General features: G+C 39.1%; 1 protein-coding gene and 1 long non-coding RNA gene across 9 annotated transcripts in view, besides 3 other annotated features; one reads left to right on the forward strand and one right to left on the reverse strand.

Annotated features, from left to right (window-relative positions):
- The window catches only part of EIF2A (eukaryotic translation initiation factor 2A), a 39,230-nt gene extending 30,660 nt beyond the window's left edge, over positions 1-8,570 (forward strand). For 6 of the 8 annotated variants that reach the window (NM_032025.5, NM_001319046.2, NM_001319044.2 and 3 more), the window contains 3 exons: positions 4,172-4,300; positions 5,754-5,819; positions 6,400-8,570. In NM_032025.5, the coding sequence (NP_114414.2) occupies positions 4,172-4,300; positions 5,754-5,819; positions 6,400-6,465 (261 nt within the window). In that variant the 3' untranslated portion in view covers positions 6,466-8,570. The remainder of the gene's footprint in view (positions 1-4,171; positions 4,301-5,753; positions 5,820-6,399) is intronic. The other 2 variants (XM_011513224.3, XM_047449054.1) reach the window with 1 other exon arrangement.
- LOC124900547 (uncharacterized) overlaps positions 1-23,536 on the reverse strand; it is a 38,807-nt gene that overhangs the window by 13,070 nt on the left and 2,201 nt on the right. The gene's annotated exons all lie outside the window — the stretch shown is intronic.
- Positions 21,806-21,895: an enhancer, noted in NCBI's record as "active region_20688". NCBI's record gives its function as "activates an Ori minimal core promoter by ATAC-STARR-seq in GM12878 lymphoblastoid cells {active_cell/tissue: GM12878}" and the evidence as "EXISTENCE:reporter gene assay evidence [ECO:0000049][PMID:35858748]".
- Positions 22,086-22,285: an enhancer, noted in NCBI's record as "active region_20689". NCBI's record gives its function as "activates an Ori minimal core promoter by ATAC-STARR-seq in GM12878 lymphoblastoid cells {active_cell/tissue: GM12878}" and the evidence as "EXISTENCE:reporter gene assay evidence [ECO:0000049][PMID:35858748]".
- Positions 22,446-22,655: an enhancer, noted in NCBI's record as "active region_20690". NCBI's record gives its function as "activates an Ori minimal core promoter by ATAC-STARR-seq in GM12878 lymphoblastoid cells {active_cell/tissue: GM12878}" and the evidence as "EXISTENCE:reporter gene assay evidence [ECO:0000049][PMID:35858748]".

The following is a 23,536-nucleotide window of genomic DNA, read 5'->3' on the forward strand; positions in this document are numbered from 1 at the left end:
AATCCTGCCTCAGCTTCCCAAGTAACTAGGACTGTACATGTACACCACCATTCCCAACTAATTTTTTTATTTTTGTAAAGATAGGTTATCGCTATGTTTTTCAAGCAGGAAATGGGAGTAGGTTTTTTTGGTTTGGTTTTGGCTTGGTTTTTTTTTTTGAGACCGAGTTTTGCCATGTTGCCCAGGCTAGTCGCAAACTCCTGAGCTCAAGCAGTCTTTCCACCTCAGCCTCCCAAAGTGCTTGGATTACAGGCGTGAGCCACTGTGCCCATCCTAGAAAGGGCAGATTTTTAACAGCTGGTTGCTATATCAGTATAGTCTTGCTGATAATTCTTGAATTTTGACAGGTCTAGGCTGGTTATGTGTTTTGGGAGGCAGTTACTATTTTAAGGTATAGAATTGTATTATGCAACCATATTCTGCTAAAATCTGGACTTTTAGAAAAACCATTCTGTTCATTTGTAGTTAATATGTTTCATCCCCAGAAGTATCTTAATTGGTCAGCTTTAGGTTATTCCAAGTAAAAATGATCTATTCCATGCATTTGATATTAGATTTGTATAAAAGCAAGTCTTGTCCCTTCATCAGTACAAGTAGGGACCTCTACTGGCCCTGGATATTACAACTCATTAGTAGTATCCTTAACAACTTGATAACTAAGATGCCCTTTGAGTTTTAGGGCCTCTCTGAAACGCACTCAACTTAGAATTCTATTTTTATAAGCAAAGTTTCTTCCACTTTATCAAAAGATATTTTTAATATGACCATTGGTGATACTGGACTAAGATTCCTTTATACTTATTATATAAATAATTACTTACATAATTACATATGATTATAATTATTAATAATTATAACCATTAATTAATATACTAAATTATAATTGTATTAATTATATAAATAATATACAAATTCTATTAGTTTATACATTTTATAATATAAATTATGTGATAATTTCACATTTAATTAATATAATGAAATTATTATTATAAATAATAGTTATTTGTAACTCTGTTATAAATGTGTAACTCTTTATAGCTCATGGTAATAGTGTGATCAGCTGGGCTGATCAGTTATAAATTTACAACTCTCAGTTATATGTTTATACCTGTCAGTTTTTTTTAAAAGAGCCAATACAGTCATCAAGCACCTACACACGTTTTTTACTAAAGATGATACCAAAGGTGATACCAGTAATCCCTCATTGTGGAATTGCTTTTTGAGTTGTTTTTCCAGTAATAGCAAAGGTTTTCAACTTGCAAGATAAACTATTCAGTATGTATTTTGGGGACGACTGGCTGAAGTTAGTAAAAGTTGTGGCTGTGTGATGGAACAAAGCTAAATGGCCCTTGACAGAATCTCACCTTATCCAGACCTTCTTAGTCCTGACTCTGAAGTAAATAGTCAAAGATAGAGCAGTCAGATATATGTAATCTAACTAGTATTTTTGTAAACTGGTGATAATTTTATAAGTTTGTTGACTTTACCAAAAAAGAGTTGAAACATAAGAATTTAATCTTACCATATATACGTCCTTTCTAGAGAATGGCTAGAATTTAAGTATAATAATGCAGACATTTCAACTTGTTCTTGGTTAGTTTGTGGGGAAAAATAAATTTTATATATCACTTAATTTTAATGGTTTTTCACATGATAAGATTAACCTTTCTTCCTAGAGAGCTATATTCTTAGCTCATTACAAACAACTAAAATTTTATATTTTTAAAATCTGATATCAAAAGTGAATTTTGATAGGCAGAATATCCCCTCTTCTTTTATTTACTCTTCTACTTTAATTTTATATTGTGAAAAATATAAAACTGCCTATTACCAGAACTTACAGGCTCCTTAAGAGGAGAAACTTAATATTTTCTTTCGAATTCTCAAAGTGCCCAGTAATTTGTTTTCATGTAGAAGGTAAATAATTGTTTATTAAATAGTACCAAAAAGTGAAACCAACATGACTTTAAAAAGAAAAATTGGCTGGATGCAGTGGCTCACACCTGTAATCCCAGCACTTTGGGAGGCCGAGGTGGGTGGATCACCTGAGGTCTGGAGTTCGAGATCAGCCTGTCTAACATGGTGAAACCCCATCTCTACTAAAAATACAAAATTAGCTGGGTGTGGTAGCAGGTGCCTGTAACTGTAATCCCATCTACTTGGGAGGCTGAGGCAGGAAAATCGCTTGAACCCGGGAGGTGGAGGTTGCAATGAGCTGGAATCGTGCCACTGCACTCCAGCCTAGACTCTGTCTCCAAAAAAAAAAAAAAAGAGAAAAATTGACTTCAATTCTGTATTTTCTAAAAACTCTTAGGCAGACTTTTAGAGTTGAATATCTAGAAGTGATACCCTATTCTATGTTCCCTGAGGATCTGAGGATGCTTTAAAAGTTCAGAGTATCCTACCCAGAACTCTGAGTAAAAGGTTATGGAGACCTGGAGCATTATATATATATTCCACTGGAAATTCTATAAGAAGTAGAAACCCTACGTTGGAGCCAATAAATACTTACATAATTTTTTCCCCTCTTACCAAAATATATATCTTGTCATAATTATAAAGGAAGAGTCATTCCTTTATTTTTTATTTATTTAGCCTGTGCAACGAAGCAAGTATTATGCTAGAGGCTCAGTTCTAATGGGGAATGGTAGAATATGGTGTTACCGTAGGGAAAAATACTGGGCATTATGAGAGCCTGGGAAAGGTGCGACTATCCAGTCTTAAGGTGGGGAGATTTTCCAGAAGACTTAAAGGATAAGTAGGGTTCAGCCAGGTGACTTGTGGGGGAAGGTGTTCTAGGCACAAGGAACAATATATAGTAGTCTCCCTTTATCCTGGAGGGGCAGAGCTATGCCTGAAACCACAGATAGTACCGAACCCTATAGAGACTGTGATACACAGTAAGAGATTAACAGTAACTCATAAGAAAATAGAGCAATTATAATAATATACTGTAATAAAAGATATGTGAATATGGTCTCTCAAAATATCTAATGGTGTTGTATTCACCCTTTTTGCGACAATGTGAGATGGTACAATGCTTGTGTGGTAAGTTGAATGACCACGGCTATAACTTGCAGTTCAAGGCGCAACTGCAAAACTAGCACTAATCTCTTTTTTCTTCTTCCCAAGTTCATGGATAGGTTTAATCTTACTGTAAATCATAGCAAATCAGCATACAATATTTTTTATTCCTTATTAAGAACTTTCACCTTTTCACTTAAAGGGAGCACTTTACGGCTTCTCTTTGGCATATCCGAATTGCCAGCATCACTACTCTGCACTTTGGGACCATTATTAAGTAAAATAAGGGTTACTTAAACACAACTACTGTTGATACTGTGACAGTCGATCTGATAACCAACACAGCTACTAGTGAAAAATAGGTGGGGAGCGAATACACTGTGGATACACTGGATAAAAGAATGATTCTCGTTCTAGGCAGGATGCTGAGAGATTTCATCACACAGCTTAAAACTTATGAATTGTTTATTTCTGGGATTTTCCATGTAATATTTTTGGGCTGCAGTTGACGCTTGGTTACTGAAACCATGGTTAAGGGAGACTGCTGTACACAAAGGCCAGGGGCAAGAGTATACAGCACCTTAGCGGAAATAAAAGTGATTCAGAATCAGTGAGGAGGGACAAGAAAAGTTATCAGAGGTCTGATCATATTGGAAGCATTATGGCATCCCTTTAAGGGGAAAAAAGTTTTGTGGTACTTTGTTGCAGAGCTGAATTGATCTGATTATAAATTAATATCTGTAGGATTCTTATTCTTGTAGCATAATCCATTACAGGTACTTGATCATACATATTCTTTATAGTTTTGGAGAGAGCCTTGTAAGAGTGAAACTTTAAACACCTTAAATAGAAAAGCCCTCTCATATGTTCAAACCATCTATCTACTGGCACATCTCAGAATATGCAAAAGTTTGGAATGCTTGTTGGCTGGTACAGAAACTTCCTGGTTTACTCTGATAAGGTCATTTTATTTCTAACATGGGAGTATGTAGCATACTTCATGAGACCTTTAATTCAGATTCTTTATATAAAATGTAGATAAAATCACATATTTAGTTTCTGTATTTCATATGCCAAAGCTATGTTGATTTAAATACTGTAATGTTTTTGGCTTTTAAAATTGAATTTAAAAAAATATTTCCTGCAGGAAGCAAGAAGTGACAAGAGTCCAGATTTGGCACCTACTCCTGCCCCACAGAGCACACCACGAAACACTGTCTCTCAGTCAATTTCTGGGGACCCTGAGATAGACAAAAAAATCAAGAACCTAAAGAAGGTGAGAGACTTAAAAACAGATGTGCATATTGAAAGGTATACATGAAAATTATATAAGTAAGAGAGTACTTAGATGCCTAAAGACAGGTATCTAAGAAGTTGGTATCAGCAGTTCTCATTGTTGTTTTCTCACTATGAAGCACTGTTCACTTAGGAATGGTATTGATTTTAGTTCTATTCATAAATGTCTGAAGACTCTTAGTACTTTGATTTTTGGAGTAATAAAATTCAGTGTGCATCAGCATAGAAATATACTGAACACTTTTTTTTTTTGAGACGGAGTCTTGCCCTGTTGCCCAGGCCGGAGTACAGTGCCACAACCTTGGCTCACTGCAACCTCCGCCTCCCAGGTTCAAGCGATTCTCCTGCCTCAGCCTCCCGAGTAGCTGGGACTACAGGTGTGCGCCACCACGCCTGGCTAATTTTTATATTTTTAGTAGAGACAGGGTTTCACCATGTTGGCCAGGCTGGTCTCAAACTCCTGCCCTCAGGTAATCCACCCGCCTCGACCTCCCAAAATGCTGGGATTTGTGAGCCTCCTCGCCTGGCCACTGAACACTTTTTAATTTAATTTAATTTTTTTTTTTGAGACAGAGTCTTGCTCTGTCGACCAGGTTGGAATGCAGTGGCGCGATCTCGGCTCACTGCAAGCTCCGCCTCCCGGGTTCAGGCCATTCTCCTGCCTCAGCCTCCCGAGTAGCTGGGACTACAGGCGCCTGCCACCACACCTGGCTAATTTTTTGTATTTTTAGTAGAGACGGGGTTTCACCGTGTTAGCCAGGATGGTTTCAATCTCCTGACCTCATGATCTGCCTGTCTCAGCCTCCCAAAGTGCTGGGATTACAGGTGTGAGCCACTGCACCTGGTCACTCAATACTTTTATACTCAGTATTTCATTAGATACCTTGTGATAATTAGGGGCAGATATTTATCCTAGTTTTGAAGATGAAGAGACAGAGACAAAAAAGAAGTGTATTGATTTGTGATATTGCAGCCAGTGTGCTGGGGTGGCCCTGGGGATAAAAAAAGGTCTCTAGAGCCCTTCACAGCTGCATTATGAGGTTTCTCTTTCATTCACTTTTTATCGGGCAGGACTTTGGACCAACAATCTTTCAGAATGCTCTCATTGAGATTTCTCTCAAAGCCAGAAACATCACCCAGGTCCAATGGGGCATTGAAATGTGCCATTACTGATACATTTATATATACACATGCATACACGATAACATTAATTAAAAGCCTGAGAATAATATTTTGCCAAATCTCATGTTTTTAACATTTACAATTTTGCATTTAACTTTAAAAAACAATTTATCCTAGCATTTTAACAGACCATTGTTGATACAAATCTAAGATAATTAATCTCCTTACTTGAGTTTCACATTCTTAATAAGGAAATTTGCATTTGAAGTGACTTTTCTTCCATGCTCTTGACTCATATTTGATGTTTGCAGAAACTGAAAGCAATCGAACAACTGAAAGAACAAGCAGCAACTGGAAAACAGCTAGAAAAAAATCAGGTACTTTCTGCATTTTTCATTTAGGCTTGTGGTGACCACCAGCCTTCCCCCTTTTATTATAAACAAGTATTTAGTCAGGTAAAAGAGCACATGGAGTTTAAAAACTTATTTTGAAAACCATATGCCATATTCTTTTTAATGTTTTTACTTTTAAATAGCTTTACTCTTAAATAGAAGAGATATGGTATTGATCATGTGAATGAAAAAGTCAATATTCCTAAGAGGCATACTATGTTATTACTGCTGAAAATAATAGCAATTTGTTATATTAGACAAATATAAGATTCTCTCAAGTTGTACTGCCCTGTTTGCCTTTTCCCTCCTCCTGTCAACATGTTTAAGCCCGAATATAGAATTGAAAATTTTTGGGGCCCAAAGGGATGCAGTAAGACAGTGTCTGTTCTTTTCACCCTCGATTCATACCAGATAACAAATTAGAATTTGTTTCTAACCTGTATTTTAAAATCTGTGTTTACTAGTGAACATAATAAATTGTCAGAAATACCATTTTTTCTGTATTATTTTGGTTACATATCCAGTAATTATTTCATAATAACTTCATTGTTTCAAACTTTTCTAGTTGGAGAAAATTCAGAAAGAAACAGCCCTTCTCCAGGAGCTGGAAGATTTGGAATTGGGTATTTAAAGATTCACGGAAAGCAAGTTGATGACCAGAAATCAGTGCAAACACATCTTCTGTTAAACCCATTGGTATACACAGAATATTCCTGTGCCCACACTTAATGTCAATCTATAATTTTAACCATTTATCCAAGATTCTACTAAGTGTAAAATTATTTAATAATGTCTATTAAATTGATATTTATATCTTGCATCCTATATCATGTCAATATGTGATATAGAAAAGAGATACGTGAATTTTTTAGCTAAGCTTGACAGATTGAAAGACAAGTGTCATTTTTTTTTGTAGAGGGTGATATATACCATGTAAATGAACAAAGACATTTTAAATTTAATCACTGTTTTTATTATAAGTTCCTTAGTTCAGATATCCTTTATTAATTTATAAGATGTGTAAAACTACTTAATTCTCACAAGACTCTATGAAGTAATTCTTTTAATCTCTATTTTATAAATGAAAAAACTAAGGCCATAAATTTAAGAAATTTGTCAGTGTCTCAAAGCTAGGAAATGGCCATCTAATCCCAGAGCCTATGCTTTAGGTCACTATGATATATACTACTCCTGTATCCTCAAGTAATGTATCATTTAGTAACACTAAGCACCCTGCTTAGTTTTCATGGATACTGCCAAATTGCCCTATCTCAAGCTTTATACTTGCACCATTTAAAGTTTTCCACACTGTTGGCAATATCAGAAGTGATAAGGCTTTGAAATGTTCGCCACTTTGATAAAGAGGAAATGATTGTTTGTTACTGTTATATACATGTATTTTTATCAGAGATGGGTTATGTACTTTTCCACGTTTGATAGTTGGTTGTATTTCTTTAGTGAATTGATTTTTCTTTTCCTTTGCCCATTTTTCTGTTTGGATGTTTGACTTTCTTCTTAATTTGTAAGAGTATCCTATGTAGTAACAAAATCCTTTTTTAAAAATTTTTAAAGAAAAAGTATACACACAGGACTTTTTTTTTTCTAATTCAAAAAATACAAAGGCATGCAATGAAAATTAAGTCTGTTCCACTACCACATTTTCCAGTTTTTTGTGTATCTTTCTAATGATAGATACCATATGAGTATTCAAATATACATACACATACACTTAAAAAAAAAAGATGGCATATACTAACTGTTCTGTTTGGGGCTTTTTGGTGGTGGTGTTTGTTTGACAGGGTCTCACTCTGCCTCCCAGGTTGGAGTGCACCTTGAACTCCTGGACTCAAGTGATCCTTCACCTCCTCCTTCCAAGTATCTGACACTACAGGCTTGCATCACTATGCCCAGCTTATACTCACCATAGTGGTTCTGTACTCCCTTAAAATATTCTGGAGGCCAGGCATGCTGGCTCACACCTGTAATCCCAGCACCTTGGGAGGCCAAGGTGGGTGGATCACCTGAGGTCAGGAGTTCAAGACCAGCCTGATCAACATGGTGAAACCCCATCTCTACTAAAAATACAAAAGTATCCAGGCGTGGTAGCACATACCTGTAATCCCAGCTACTTGGGAGGCTGAGGTAGGAAAATTGTTTGAACCCGGCAGACAGAGGTTGCAGTGAGCCGACATCGTGCCATTGCACTCCAAGCCTGGGCAACAAGAGTGAAACCGTCTCACACACACACAAAAAAAAATATTTTGGAGCTCCTTCTATATGAGTCTCTCTCTCTTATCTCTCTCAGGATGTGTGTATGTGTTTGTTTCTCTGGAAAACCCTGACTAATACAGATTAGCTATGTATTAGGTAATACATAATGCCTAATACATAACTAATATATGGACAGGAAGTTAATAGACTGACTGTGCCACCTTAAAACTCGTATGTTGAAGCCCTAACCTCCAACGTGGTGGTATTGGGAGATGGGCCTTTTGGAAGGTAAGTGTGTTTGAATGAGGTGAAGAGGTTGGGGACTTCGTGATGGGATTATTGTCCTTACAAGAAAAGACACCAGAGAGCTTGTTCTGTCTCTTTGGGCCATGTGAAGACATGGTGAGAAAGCAGCCAGCTGTAAGCCAGAGAGTCCTCACCAGAACCTAACCATGCTGGTGATATCCTCATCTCAGACTTCTAACCTCCAGAACTGTGAGAAAATAAACTTCTTTGTTTAAACCACCTAGTCTGGTATTTTGTTACGGCAGCCTGAGCAGACCAATATAGATTGTATAAATTTCAGTTTGTTTAAAAGGACAGGCCGGGTGTGGTGGCTCACGCCTATAATCCCAGCACTTTGGGAGGCAGAGGCGGGCGGATCACAAGGTCAGGAGATCGAGACCATCCTGGCTAACACAGTGAAACCCCGTCTCTACTAAAAATACAAAAAATTAGCCGGGCGTGGTGGCGGGTGCCTGTAGTCCCAGCTACTCGGGAGGCTGAGGCAGGAGAATGGCCTGAACCCGGGAGGCGGAGCTTGCAGTGAGCCGAGATCGTGCCACTGCACTCCAGCCTGGGCAACAGAGCGAGACTCCGTCTCAAGAAAAAAAAAAAAAAAAAAAAAAAGTAAAGGACAACTAATGAATCAAGGAAGACTTTATGGGAAAAAGTAAGATTTAACATGCTCTAAATAGAAAAATGGTTTGCTTTTTTTTTTTAAGGTTTAACGTGTTTATCATGGTTGGCAGCTAAGTAGAGGAAGAGCCAAGTCCAGAATCTAACATTTGGACTTCCCCTCATTTAAACAGTGGCGTTTTGCCACGTTGCCCAGACTGGTCTCAAACTCCTCAGCTCAAACAATCTGCCCACCTCGTCCTCCCAAGATGCTGGGATTACAGTCATGAGCCACTGCAGCCAGCCTACATTTTTAAATGGTTGGAAAATCAAAAGATTATTTGATGACATGTGAAAATGGTATAAAACTGTGAAATCTATTGTCCATAAGTAAAGTTTTCTTTGAACACATCCATGCTCACTCGTTAACTTATTTTCCATGGCTGCTTTCATGCTGCAACTGCAGAGTTGAGTATTTCCAACAGGTCATGTTTTTGCAATGCCTAAAACATATACTCTCTGGCATTTTACAGAAAAATATTGCTAATTCCTTTGTATTCTGTAGAAGAATACAAAATAACATGGAAATAACCACATAATTATGTTGCTTCTTGTATTCTCCACTATATAAACTCCTAGAAGTGGAATTCTTGAGTCATGTCACATTAGAAAATTTAGGCCAGGCACTAATTTAGGCTCATGCCTGTAATCCCAGCACTTTATAAGACTGAGGCTGGAGGATCACTTGAGCCCAGAAGATTGAGGCTGCAGAGAGCCATGATCATGCCACTACACTCCAGCCTGGGTGACAGAGAAAGACCCTGCCTCCAAAACAACAACAAAATGTAAATACTTTTTGTTGTTACTATTATCATCATCATCTTTATTTTACTTGCTGATTTTCTCCTTCACTATGTTTGGGGTTTTTTTACTCAATTTATTTTCACATTTGGTACTGTTATTACTCTGAGACTGTTGTTTTTATTTAGTGGAAGCATAATCAAGTTAAGTGAATCAGATGTGACTCCGCAATTGGCATTTTAACATCTAAATTTGGGACAGAGTCTTGCTCTGTTACCCAGGCTGGAGTGCAGTGGCTCGATCTCAGCTCACTGCAACCTCTGCCTCCTGGGCTCAAGCAATTCTCGCGCCTCAGCCTCCGAGTAGCTGAGATTACGGGCATGCACCACCACGCCTGGCTAATTTTTGTATTTTTAGTAGTAGAGACGGGATTTCACCATGTTGGCCAGGCTGGTCTCCAACTTCTGGCCTCAAGTGATCCGCCTGCCTCGGCCTCCCAAGCTTTGGGATTACAGGCATGAGCCACTGCTCCTGGCCTTAAACTTTGTTTAAAAAAAGAAATAAAGCAATGGGCCAGATTGGTTTTGACACAGATTGAACAATTTAAACATTTATTGCTCAAAAGATTAATGAAGATCATGGGCCACTAATCTGCTTCAGACAAACTGTTAAACCAGTTTTTAAAAAACTAAATTGAACATTTTCTGAATTTATACCCCTTGCCAAGTAAAAAATAATACACATACATTCCAAAATAAATTTAATATCAGAAATTCTGTGATGTTTATGTTGCAATCCAAAAAGGTGAAAAGGTAAGATGTTGAGTTTTCCAAAAGTAAATTATAAGGTGAGCATTTTATCCTTGGCTTTTCAGCTCTCTATGGAAAGATACAATCCATTAATAGTCATAGACCTGCTGACTGTCTGTAACCCCTGCGTCAGATCAGTGGTAAGTCATAGGCCCAGCCATAACATTACACCTCTTCAGGGACAGCTTAGCCCTGTAGAGTCGATGAGGTTAAGTGGCAGGCGTGGACACGGCGGCAGTTGTGAAGAGCTGCTTACACCAAAGCCTTGCCCGGAATGCAGGGCTGATTGCCTGCTCACAGTTGGTCTTGTGACTGACAAGTGTCCTGTTAGTGTCGTTGTAGGATGACAGGGGCCTCACAATTTCCAAAAAAAATTATTCTGTAGGGGAGGAGCATTTTTCTACTCTTCAGGACTTTGAGGAGGTCTACATCATCTGAGGCTCAGTACTGTCTTTGGAAAGCAGTTTGCAGGACTGCAACCAGAGGAAATGCTTCAACCATTTGTTCTCTGCACCTGGGGGAAGAAAGTCTTTGCCCTGAAGTGTGATAGCCAGTGATCTAATCAGCTACAGTTATGTGCCACATAAAGACGTTTTTGTCACTGACAAACTGCAAATATGATAGTGGTCCCATAAGCTTATAATGGAGCCGAAAAATTCCTATCTCCCAGTGGCATGATAGCCTTGTAATGCCCTAGCACAACATATTACTCACTTGTTTGTAGTGATGCTGTTTGTAAACAAACCTGTGCTGCCAGTCCTATAAAAGTCTAGCACTTACAATTATGTACAGTACATAATACTGGATAATTATAAATGACTGTTCCTGGTTTATGTATTTACTATACTATACTTGTTATTTTAGAGTGTACCCCTACTTTAGAAAGTTAACTGTAAAACAGCCTCAGGCATGCCCTTCAGGAGGAGTTCCAGAAGGCACTGTTACTGTAGGATATGACAGCTCCATGTGTGTTATTGCCCCTGAACACCTTCCAGTGAGACAAGATGTGGAAGTGAAGACAGTGATATTGATGATCCTGATCAATAGCCCCTACATGGCTGGGGCTAATGTATGGGTTTGTGTCTTTAAAAGTTAAAAAAAAAAAAATTAGAGGAAAGCTTTTAGAGCAAGGATATAAAGAAAAAATATTTTCGTACAGCTGTATAATGTGTGTGAATGTGTTTTTTGGTTTTTGTTTTGAAACAGGGTCTCATTCTGTCACCCAGACTGGAGGGCAGTGGCACAATCTTGGCTCACTGCAACCTCTGCCTCCCAAGCTCAAGGGATCCTCCCAACTCAGGCTCCCAAGTACCTGGGACTACAGGCATGCACCACCGCACTCAGCTAATTTTTTTACTTTTTGTAGAGACGAGGTCTCACTATGTTGCTCAGGCTGGTCTTGAACTCCTGGGCTCAAGGGATCATCCCACCTCAGCCCCCCAAAATGTTGGGATTATAGGCTTGTTCTGGCCAACGTATGTTTTAAGCTAAGTGATATTGTGAGTCAAAAAGTTATATAAAATTAAAAGTTTATAAATTTAAAAAGTTACAGTAAGCTAAGGTTAATTGATTATTAAAACAAGAAAAATATTTTTAGCATAGCCTAAGTGTACAGTGTTTATAAAGTCCATAGTAGTGTACACTAATGCCCCTGGCCTTCATGTTCACTGACCACTCACTCACTGACTTGCCCAGAGCAACTTCCAGTCCCACAAACTCCATTCAAGTTAAGTACCCTATATGGGTGTACCATTTTTTATCTTTTATGCCATATTTTTACTGTACCTTTTCTACGTTTACATATGTTTAGATAGACAAATATTTACCACTGCTTACAGTATCAATACAGTAACATATTGTATTGCTTAGGAGCAATAGGCTATACCATCTAAGTTTATGTAAGTACACTGTATGTTCACACAGTGAGGAAATCGCCTAGTGACACATTTCTCAGAACCTATCCCTGTTAAGTGACACACGGCTGTTCTTGAGCTGCTGCTTCATAGGCCACTCCCTCCCTCTGTAATGCTCTGTTTTGTTCTTGGAATCTCTCGAGTACTTCACATCTCCAAACTTCATTTCACCGCGGGTATATTGTGGAAATTATAGGTAAACCAATTAGTATGAATCCATCTACTTTCTGTTTTCTAGAGTTTTTAATACAGTTTCTGAACCACTGGTCCTTCTTTCCTGGAGGTATTGCAGTTTCTGGACCACTGGTCCTTCTTTCTTTTCAGTGTTGCCACAAAATTATTGCTTGTACCACTTTCCTGTCATGTCACTCAGATCCTAAGAAGGGGGAGGCAGATGCATGTGCTTAGTCTGTTGTCTTAAATTGGAAGTCAGACAAGCACACTTCTAAAGGTTTTTTGTATTTGATAATATATGTATACATTTTGAGACTGGGTCTTGCCTTGTTGCCTAGGCTGGAGTGCAGTGACATGATCACGGCTCACTGCTCAAGTGATCCCCCACCTCAGCCTCCCCAGTAGCTGGGACTACAGGCATGCACCACCATGCCCAGCTAATTTTTGTATTTTTTGTAGAGACAGGATTTCGCCATGTTGCCCAAGCTGGTGTCAAACTCCTGGGCTCAAGCAATCCACCGATCTCAGCCTCCTGAAGTGCTAGGAGTACAGGCATGAGTCACTACATCCAGCATATATATATACACACGTATATGTGTGTATATATATGTATATGTATATATATGTGTATATATATGTGTATGTATATGTGTGTGTGTATATATATATATATATATATATATATATATTAAAAACATGAATGTAAAAATTAAAAGCATTTTACTTGGTTCACCTAAACCAATTCCTCATACGGACACTAGAGGGTTCTAAGGATCTGGAGTATGGGGAAATTAATGAGGAATTCAAAATTTTAGAACATAACTGGAAAATATGTTCACTCACTTAAAACTTGCCATTTTAGTAGCCTGGATTACTGCTATTTATTTATTTATTTGGAGACAGGGTCTTACTCTGCTGTCTAGTCTGTCTTTTCTCATTGTCAAACTTAACCCTCTTTAGACTTTTGCCATCAGACTTATTCCCACCCTCCTGCTAAACTTGTTCTGTAATAGTGGTCTCTTATTGGTGCAAATGAATCATATTCCAACAGTTTGTTTAGAAGTCAACCATTTGCAGAGAGGACTATGTTTTCCCATTGAAAGAATATTATAAATTGTCATTGGTGTTGAGGTGAGCATTGGTGAAAACCTTAAATGCAAAAACTGGGTATAGGCTCATTAAAAAAAAAAAAAAGTTGAAAATCACTTAAATTTTCAAGAGAATGAGAAGCCACAGAAAATATTTGCAAAAGATGTATCTGATAAAGAGGTATTATCCAAAATATACAAAGAAATCTTAAAACTCCACAGTAAGCAAACAACTTTGTATATTAAAGTTGAAAATTCATTTAAAAATATATAAAAGTTGTTTAATATATAAAAGTTTGATTAAAAATGGGCCAAAGACCTTAACAGACATCTCATCAAAGATGATATACAGATGGAAAATAACCACATGAAAAGATGCTCCACATCATACATCATCAGAGAAATGCAAATTAAAACGATAGTCAAATACCTCTTTACACCTATTAGAATGACCAAAACCAAAAACACTGACAACATCAAATGCTAATGAGGATGGGGAGCAGCAGGAACTCTAATTTATTGCTGGTGGGAATGCAAAATGGTACAGCCACTTTGGAAGACAGTTTGGCAGTTTCTTACTAAACTAAGTATAGTTTATTACTATACTTTTAACATACAATACAGCATGTCACTCCTTGGTATTTACCTAACGGAGTGGAAAACTTAAGTCTACACAAAAACCTGCATACATCGATAGCAAACGTATTTATAATTGCCAAAACTTGGAAGCAACCAAGATGTCCTTCAATGAGTGAATAAACTGAGATACATCCAGACAATGGAATATATTTAGGACTAAAAAGAAATGCGCTAACAAGCCATGAAAAGACAGAAGAAACTTAAATACATATTACTAACTGAAAGAAGCCAATCTGAAAAGGCTTCATACTGTATGATTTCAACTACATAATATTCTCAAAAAGACAAAACTATGGAGACAATGAAAAGATCAGTAGCTGCCAGGTATTAGTGGGGAGGGTAAATATTTAGGACAGGGAAAATATTCTGTATGATGCTGTAATGATGGATACATGTCATTAAACATGTTTCCAAATCCACAGACTATACAACACCAAGAGTGAACCCTAATGTAACCTATGGACTTCGATTATGATGTGTCAAGGCCGGTTCATCCTTTATAACAAATGACACATTCTGGTGGGGGATATTGATAGTAAGGGAGGCTATGCATGCAGGGGGTATGTGTGAAATGTGTACTTTCTGCTCAGTTTTGCTGTGAACCTACAACTCCCAAAAAATTGTCTTTAAAAAATTATTTAATATTTAAAAATTAATGCCACAATAAGAAATAAGAAAATAGAATGAAAATTCTTGTTGAAAGTTTGAATACTTTTTTATTTTAGAAGAAACATTAAAATGAAGGAAAAAGTATGGGAAAATAATTTGTAGGAGATTCCCAAGGATGCTTTTTGTGCTTTAGATACTGATTCTTTAGGACAAACATATAAGCTTATCTTCTCTTTTCCCTGGTATAAATTTCACCATTCTCGAGCTTAACCATCATTGAGGTAATCCAGCATTTACAAACAAAATGACGGAAGGGAAAGAAAACATATTTTTCTAAGATCATTAAGCAAAAATTGGAAATGAGGAGAGAAAGAGAGAAAGGCATTATGGAGAAAGAGATATACATAAGAGGGACAAAGAAAGAGAGAAGGAAAGGGGGCAGTGAGGGAGAGATACTGCAATTAAGTGGGAGCCATCACCCAGGACACCACCTCAGTTTCTTGTCTGAGGATTTAATGGGAGAGCTGGGAATGAGTACTCTTGGAACTGAGAGGAACTGGTAACCAGGAATGGATAACCCAGGGATTTACCCCAGAAGTAGTTGCAAATCAGGCACTATACGATTGGGAATACATCCACAAACCTTCTAGGACTTAAATTCCTTTTTAAAGTAAAGTCAGCTGTATTTTTTTAGAGTCTCAGGCCTGGCAAAGCAGAGGTTTTTGCCTTTACACTATTGGGCAAAATTACTTCCAGGCACAGTTTTGTTTGACTATGTTCATTGAAGCTAAAGAGCAAATCCTAGAATTGTGATTTCACTGGAGAGAATCTTTGTGCCTACTCTGTTTTGTTTTTGCATCTTCTTCCCTCTTCCCAGCAGGGACATCTAGTCCCCATTTAGGGAAACTGAAGTCCCTAGCTTGTGGCGCTTCTCTCACTCCCCTAGTCATATCTGAGACAATACACTCATACTTTTTTTTTTGAAACAGGGTCTTAGTTTGTCATCTAGGCTAGAGTACAGTGACATGATCATGGCTCACTACAGCCTCAACCTCCTGAGTTCAAGCGATTCTCCCACCTCAGCGTCCTGAGTAGCTGGACTACAAGTACATGCCACCATGCCTGGCTAAATTAACAAAAAAAAAAAATTGTACACCAGGTGTGGTGGTTCATGCCTGTAATCCCAGCATTTTGTGAGGCCAGGGGAGGTGGATCACTTGAGGCCAGCAGTTGGAGACCAGCTTGGCCAACATGACGAAACTCTCTCTCTCCTACAAAACACAAAAAAAATAGCTAGGCATGGTGGTGCGGATCTGTAATCCCAGCTATTTGGGAGGCTGAGGCAGGAAAATCACTTCAACCTAGGAAGCAGAGGTTGCAGTGAGCTGAGATCGTGCCACTGCACTCCGCCCTGGGCAACGGGCAAGACTGTCTCAAAAAATAACTTTGTGTTGTTGTTGTTGTTGTCTGTAGACACAGGGTCTCATCATGTTGCCCAGGCTGCTCTTAAACTCCTTGGCTCAAGTGATCCTCCCTTCTCTGGCTCCCAAAGTGCTGGGATTACAGGTGTGAGCCACCATGCCTAGCTTATAGTTTATTGATTGAAATAATACATTTAGATCACAAAGTTCAAGCAGACATTTGGATTTTAAACACTGGCAGTGAAAAACTTTTTCATGGAATTTCAAATGGACAGTTTGGTAATACTAACAGTGGTAGAGAAGCGATCAGCCTTGGACATAGAAGTAGGACCGGCTTCATAATTTGCAGCGCCCAATGCAAAATGAAAATGTGAAGTTCTTTATTCAAAATTATTAAGAATTTCAAAGCTGTGACAACAGAGCATTAAACCAACTACAGGGTCCTGTGTGACTGCATAGGTCACATACCCATAAAGCCAACCCTGCATAGAAGCTACTGAAACTCCACCTCCCTCTGACCTATAAGAAGTTCTTTAGTTTGTTTCTGGACATCCCCCTGTTCCCTAGAAGAGGAAGAGGTAGTGGCCAATCACACCAAGACTGCTGGCTCTGGATTGGTAGCTGCTAAGAACTGAGGAGATTTTCGTTTTCTACTTCTCTATTTTTTCTTTGTAAATTTTTATTTATTATTTTTTAAAATTCGTGGGTTTTGTTGTTGTTGTTGTTGTTGTTTTTGAGACAGGGTCTTGCGCTGTCACCCAGGCTGGAGTGCAGTGGTGTGATCATGGCTCACTGCAGCTTCGAACTCCCTGACTCAAATGATCCTCCTGCCTCAACCTCCTCAGTAGCTAGGATTACAGGTGTGCACCACCATGACTGAATACTTTTTGTATTTTTTGTAGAGACAGGGTTTCATCATGTTGCCCAAGCTGGTCTTGAACTCCTAGACTCAAGTGATCCTCCCCTCCTCGGTATCCCAAAGCGCTGGGATTACAGGCATGAGCTACCGCTCCTGGCCTATTTGGTACTTTTTTTAAAGATGGGGTCTTGCTCTGTCACCCAGGCTTGAGTGCAGTGGTACAGTCATGGCTCACTGTGGCCTCAACCACCTGGGCTCAAGCAATCCTCCCACCTCAGCCTCCCGAGTAGCTGGGACCACAGGTGCGTGCCGCCATGCTCAGCTATCTTTTTTTCTTATTACCAAAATAACATATGTTTAACAGGAAATATAGCCAAGCAAAACATTTTGATCCATATCTTCCTATTTATGTACTTTAAAAAATACATAAATAATAATGTGATAACACTTTACTGTTTCGTAATCCAATTTTAACATTCTATGTTGAGCACTTTATTTTTCATTGAATTCTAAAACATATATTTACTTTTTGAATAAGTATTACAAGACAACAGCACACAACTTTAAAATACAAAAGTTACTTATGCAATAAGAATAACTTCTCTCCCATCTTTGTTCCCTAGTCACTCTGTTCCCTGTTCTCCTCTCAGGAATCAACCACTTTTTGGTTCCTTGTATATTATTCTTTTTTTCTGAAACAGAGTCTCACTCTATCATCCAGGCTGGAGTGCAGTGGTGCAATCTCAGCTCACTGCAACCTCTGCCTCCCAGGTTCAAGGGATTCTCCTGCCTCAGCCTCCCGAGTAGCTGGGACTACAGGTGCCTGCCACCACGCCCAGCTAATTTTTTGTATTTTCAGTAGAGACAGGGTTTCACCATATTGGCCAGGCTGGTATTCTGCATGTAACTTATACACATATAAAAATTTATAAGTCATTTTTAATGGTTGTTAAAATGCCACTAAATTAATATACCATGATTTATTTAATGCAGTGTTGGACACTGAAATTGTTTCTGATTTATAAATTTATAAAATAACATTGTGATGAATATTTTTGTAATTAAAATCTTGAGCTATACATTATTATTTCTCTAGGTTAGATTTAGAAGTGGAATTGCTGGGTCAAGGTTCATGTACATTTTAAGGCTTTGGGTTTATGTTGACAGATTGTAGTTCCAAAAAACTGGACTTACTTATTTTCCCAAGTTAGTATAATGGAGTGCCCATTTTCCTACAAAATCACAAAAACTGAGTATAGTTTTTTTTTCCTGTCCCACAATTATTACAACTTGATTTTGTTGTAATCAATATATTTTGTTTTCCTGATCAGCTTCTTCCAAGGCCCTAGGCTCACCAGGTCCTCCTCTATCCTGTACTCCCTGAACTCCTCCCATGCCTTCTGTTTCGGCGGTCCCATGACCCAAGTTCAGTGATTAGGTAGAAAGACTCACAAGATGGAATAGCAAGTAATATTCGTGGTAAGGCTTATTACAGCAAAGGTTACAGAGCAAAAGCAGTGGGAAAAAGATATGCATCAAGGGAGTTCAGAGAGGCCAGGCACAGGCTTCCTAAGCATTTCCCATTGGGTACTACATAGGAGTTCCCTCGCTCTCACTTTCTCTCTCTGGCAGTGAATTTGGGATATGTCTCTGCCCAGGGAAGCCCCTTTGAGTTTTAGGATCTGAGACTTTTATGGAGGGGCTGGTGACTTAAGCATATCCTACTATCCCTCCAGCACAGTAACCAAAACTTAAAACTCCAAAAATAAAACCAGGTATATACATCATTAGTCTTTTTTATTTTGATTTTTAGTAAGTCGAAAATAATATCATACATCATTAGTTTTTATGCTTGTGCAAAGCAACCTGATGATAGTTATGATTCTGTTTGTTCTTACATTTGAGCCCTGTGTTTTTTAGATAACTAGACTTCAAAAGTCCTTGTTTCAGAATTTTATCATAGGCCTCTTACTCTAGCCCTTTCCTCATACAGAGGTCTGGCCCTTGCTTTTTAAGCTTGCTGGCCTAAACAACTTGCTGGCTATGGTTCTTGCCTCTGTGTAATGGCCTCCCAGACATGGACAGTCTACTATCTGAACTTGCAAGTATTGCCTTGTCTATAATTCTCTTTAGGAGTTGGAGGTGGGAATGGCAACAGTTAGAAAACCTAAGCAAGGCTGGGCACAGTGGCTCATGCCTATAATTTCAGCACTTTGGGAGGCTGAGGTGGGTGGATCACTTGAGATCAGGAGTTCAAGACCACCCTGGGCAACATGGTGAAACCCAGTCTCTACTAAAAATACAAAAATTAGCTGGTCATGGTGGCACATGCCTGTGGTCCCAGGTACTCGGGAGGCTGAGGCAGGAGAATTGCTTGATCCCAGGAGGCAGAAGTTGCAGTGAGCTGAGATCATGCCACTGTACTCCAGCCTGGGCAACAGAGTGATACTCTGTCTCCAAAAAAAACAAAAAAACAAAAAAACAAAACAAAAAAAAAAAACTAAGCAAGACTCAAAGAAGGAAAGATAAAGATAATACAGGGCTCTAAGTTAGGGTTCTTGGTTTGCAAACAAAATGTGTGGTAACTCATAGAGTCAAAGGAAAAGATGAAGAATGAGGCCCTGGAGAAGACAATACCCAGAGTAGTTTGGGGTCTAGAACTTTCCTTAGGGTTCTTCTATTAGAATTAATCAGCTTCAATACCTTTTGGCTTTGGACACAGGCACACCTCTGGTGGGAATGTTTTGAATACCTTTGGCTTTGGACACAGGCACACCTCTGGTGGGAATGTTTTGAGTACCTCAAGTAGTAGTCCCAAGACTGTGTGCAATGGGGTCTTTCTGGTCCCCTGAAGAGAAACTGAGGTACCATTACCAGAAGAAGGAATAGATGCTGAGAAAAACATGTATCCACTTTTTTATTATTATTATTATTTTATTTTTATTATAAGGAAGCCACCACAAGATAATTGAGCTTGCTAATCAATTTTTGTATGGGGTATTTTATTTCTTACTTTTGATATTGAAATGGATACACTCGGCCTCCCAAAGTGCTGGGTTTACAGGCCTGAGCCACCGCTCCCAGCCACTTTCACTATTTTCTGACTTGTTGAATTCCTTCCCGAGATGGTATCAAGGGCCTGGACACCAGCCAGGGTCAGGGTCCCACCAGCGTTTGGAGATCTTCCCTAGCTCACCAGTATCAATACTACCATGCCATCTTAGTGCCAGAGTTTTGCTTTTTGTTTATAATTATGTTGGTACCAATTTACCATCTGTTATTTGCAAGGGTTATGTTAAATGGCAATAATCTTTCTATGTCTGTTCTTTTACCCATATCTAATTTTTAAAATAAATTATGAAGATAAAACACCTTTTTTATAGTCTTGCTGGAAGAATTTAAACTTAAAAGTGTCCAGTCCTCTAGCTGTAACTACTAATTTACAGAGAACACACAGGACACAGATATATATTAAAGTACACCCTGGCAGGGCACAGTGGCTCATGCCTGTATTCCTAGAACTTTGGGAGGCCAAGGTGGGAGGATCACTTGAGACCAAAAATTTGAGAACAGCCTGAGCAACATAGTGAGACTCCATCTCTATTTAAAAAAAAAAAGGCAGGCCATGGTGGTCCCAGCTACTTGGGTGGCTAAGGTGGGAGAATCGCTTGAGCCCAGGTGGTAGAGGTTGCAGTGAGCCAAGATGGTGCCACTGCACTCTAGCCTGGGCAACAGGGCAAGACCCTGTCTCAAAAAAAAAAAAAAAAAAAAAAAGGGCAGTGTATGGGTTTGTAATCAGCAGCAAAACCCATAAACACATGGTTTCTTCGGCAAGTAAGTCACAAGGGAAAAAGAGACAAAGAGGCAGGGCAGGTTGGGAGATACATAAATAAAATAAATTGCAAAAGAAAAAAAGATATTTAATTTTGTTTAAGCACAGACCAAAAAAAGGTCACTGAGCTACCCACAAAACACCAAACATTCCTTTCCTTGGCCACGAAGAGGGACTGCTGCTGCTTTAACAATTAGACCTGAGGAAAGGAAAATAGCTGAGTAGCCTGAGCTATATCAGGTATGCAAATTTTTTTTTTTTCTTTTTTTTTTAGAGACAGAGTCTCACTCTGTCACCCAGGCTGGAGTGCAGTGGCACAATCTCGGCTCACTGCAAGCTCCGCCTCCCGGGTTCACACCATTCTCCTGCCTCAGCCTCCTGGGACTATAGGCGCCCGCCACCACACCCAGCTAATTTTTTGTATTTTTAGTAGAGATGGGGTTTCAGCATGTTAGCCTGGATGGTCTCGATTTCCTGACCTTGTGATGCGTGCGCCTCGGCCTCCCAAGTACTGGGATTACAGGCCTGAGCCACTGTGCCTGGCAATGTATGTAAAATTTATCAGGTCCAGGGAAACAGGAGTATGGAACTTCAGTCGCACCAACCCCATTGTTTAAAGACATTTTATGGCTAGCTGTATCACCCATTATCTTATTTTTTTTGAGACGAGGTCTCACTCTGTCACTCAGGCTGGAGTGCAGTGGCACCATCAGGGCTCACTGCAGACTCGACCTTCCTGGCTCAGGTGATCCTCCCACCGCAGTCTCCTGAGTAACTGGGGCGATAGGTGTGTGCCACCATGCCTAGCTAATTTTAAAATTTTTTGTAGAGGCAGGGTTTCATCATGTTGCCCAGGCTGGTCTCCTAGGCAGAGTGAGACTATGTCTCAAAAAAAAAAATCTAATTTTACTGGAAAGGGGTTCTGATCCAGACCCCAAGAGTCAATTTTTGGATCTCACTCAAGAAAGGACTGGGGGCAAGTCCATGGAGTAAAGTGAAAGCAAGTTTATTAAGAAAGTAAAGGAATAAAAGAATGGCTACTGCATATACAGAGCAGCCCTGAGGGCTGCTGGTTGGCTATTTTTATGGTTATTTCTTGATTATATGCCAAACAAGGGGTGAATTATTCATGAGTTTTCTGGGGAAAAGGGCAAGAATTCCCCAGAATAAAGAGTTCCTCTTTCTTTTCAACCATATAGGGTAGTTTCCAGGTGTTGCCATGGCATTTGTAAACTTTCACTGCACTGGTGGGGGTGTCCTTTAGCATGCTAGTGTGTTAAATTAGCATACAATAAGCAGTAAAGGAGATAGCATGTGAATATATTATAATTAGCAAGAAGTCACTTTTGTCTCTATCTTGGTTTTGGCTTCTTTACCGTATCCTGTTTTATCAGCTGGGTCTTTGTGACTTGAATCTTGTGCTGACCTCCTATCTCATCCTGTGACTAAGAATGCCTAACCTCCTGGGAATGCAGCCCAGCAGGTCTCCAACTCATTTTACTCAGTCCCTACTCAAGATGAAGTCACTCTGGTTTGAACATCTCTGATAATAGAACCGCTCAGCACCCCAGCTCCATTTTCCAAATCATCCAATCAAGCCCCAGATCCTAACACCTCCTAATTGAGTCTTCTCATGGTTTCCCATGGTGTGCGTTCCCCCGTCTTAGTCCATCTTGGGCTGCTATAACAGAATAACTGAGATTGGGTAATTAATAAAGACAGAGATTTATTTCTTATAGTTCTGGAAGCTGAAAATTCCAAGATCAAGGGCTCCACATCTTATGGGGGCTTTGTGTTGTTATCCAATGGAGGAAGGTAAATGTGCAGGAGAGTGCAAGAGTGAAAGAGCAACAGATAGAAATCGAAGCCTTAAGCCCTTTCATAATTGGCATTAATCCATTCATGAGGGTGGAGCCCTCCCATTAGGCCCCATCTCCCAACACTGTTACATTGGGCATTAAGTTTCCAACATATGCTTTTTGGGGGACATATTCAAACCATAGCATCCCTCTTGCTGCAATTAATGATAAACAAAATTTTTCAATTACTGGTGTGTTCCTGGTCTTAAAAGTCTTTGACTTGTCCTAAAAGACACATCAACCAATGACAATGTATAAATTTCATTTTGATTCTGATTTTAACAAATGAACAGTAGGAAAATAAGTAGTTATTGAGACCACAGGATATTTGAACACTGACTAATATTACGCAATTACTATTTTTTAAAGGTGAGACAATGATACTGTGTGTCAGGCCTCTGAGCAAGGCCGTACTTCCAAAGGAAGTGGAGTCTCACTGCAACAGCCATCACAAGGCATCAGATCTCACTGCTCAAGGCAACGCTTATGCTGATAAGGTAGCTAAAAAGCAGCTAGCATTCTAACTTCTATCCTTCATGGCAGTTTTTCTCCTTCTCATCTGGTCACTCCCACCTACTCCCCCACTGAAA

The sequence above is a fragment of the Homo sapiens genome, chromosome 3, assembly GCF_000001405.40.
Source record: "Homo sapiens chromosome 3, GRCh38.p14 Primary Assembly".
Taxonomy (NCBI): Eukaryota; Metazoa; Chordata; class Mammalia; order Primates; family Hominidae; genus Homo; species Homo sapiens.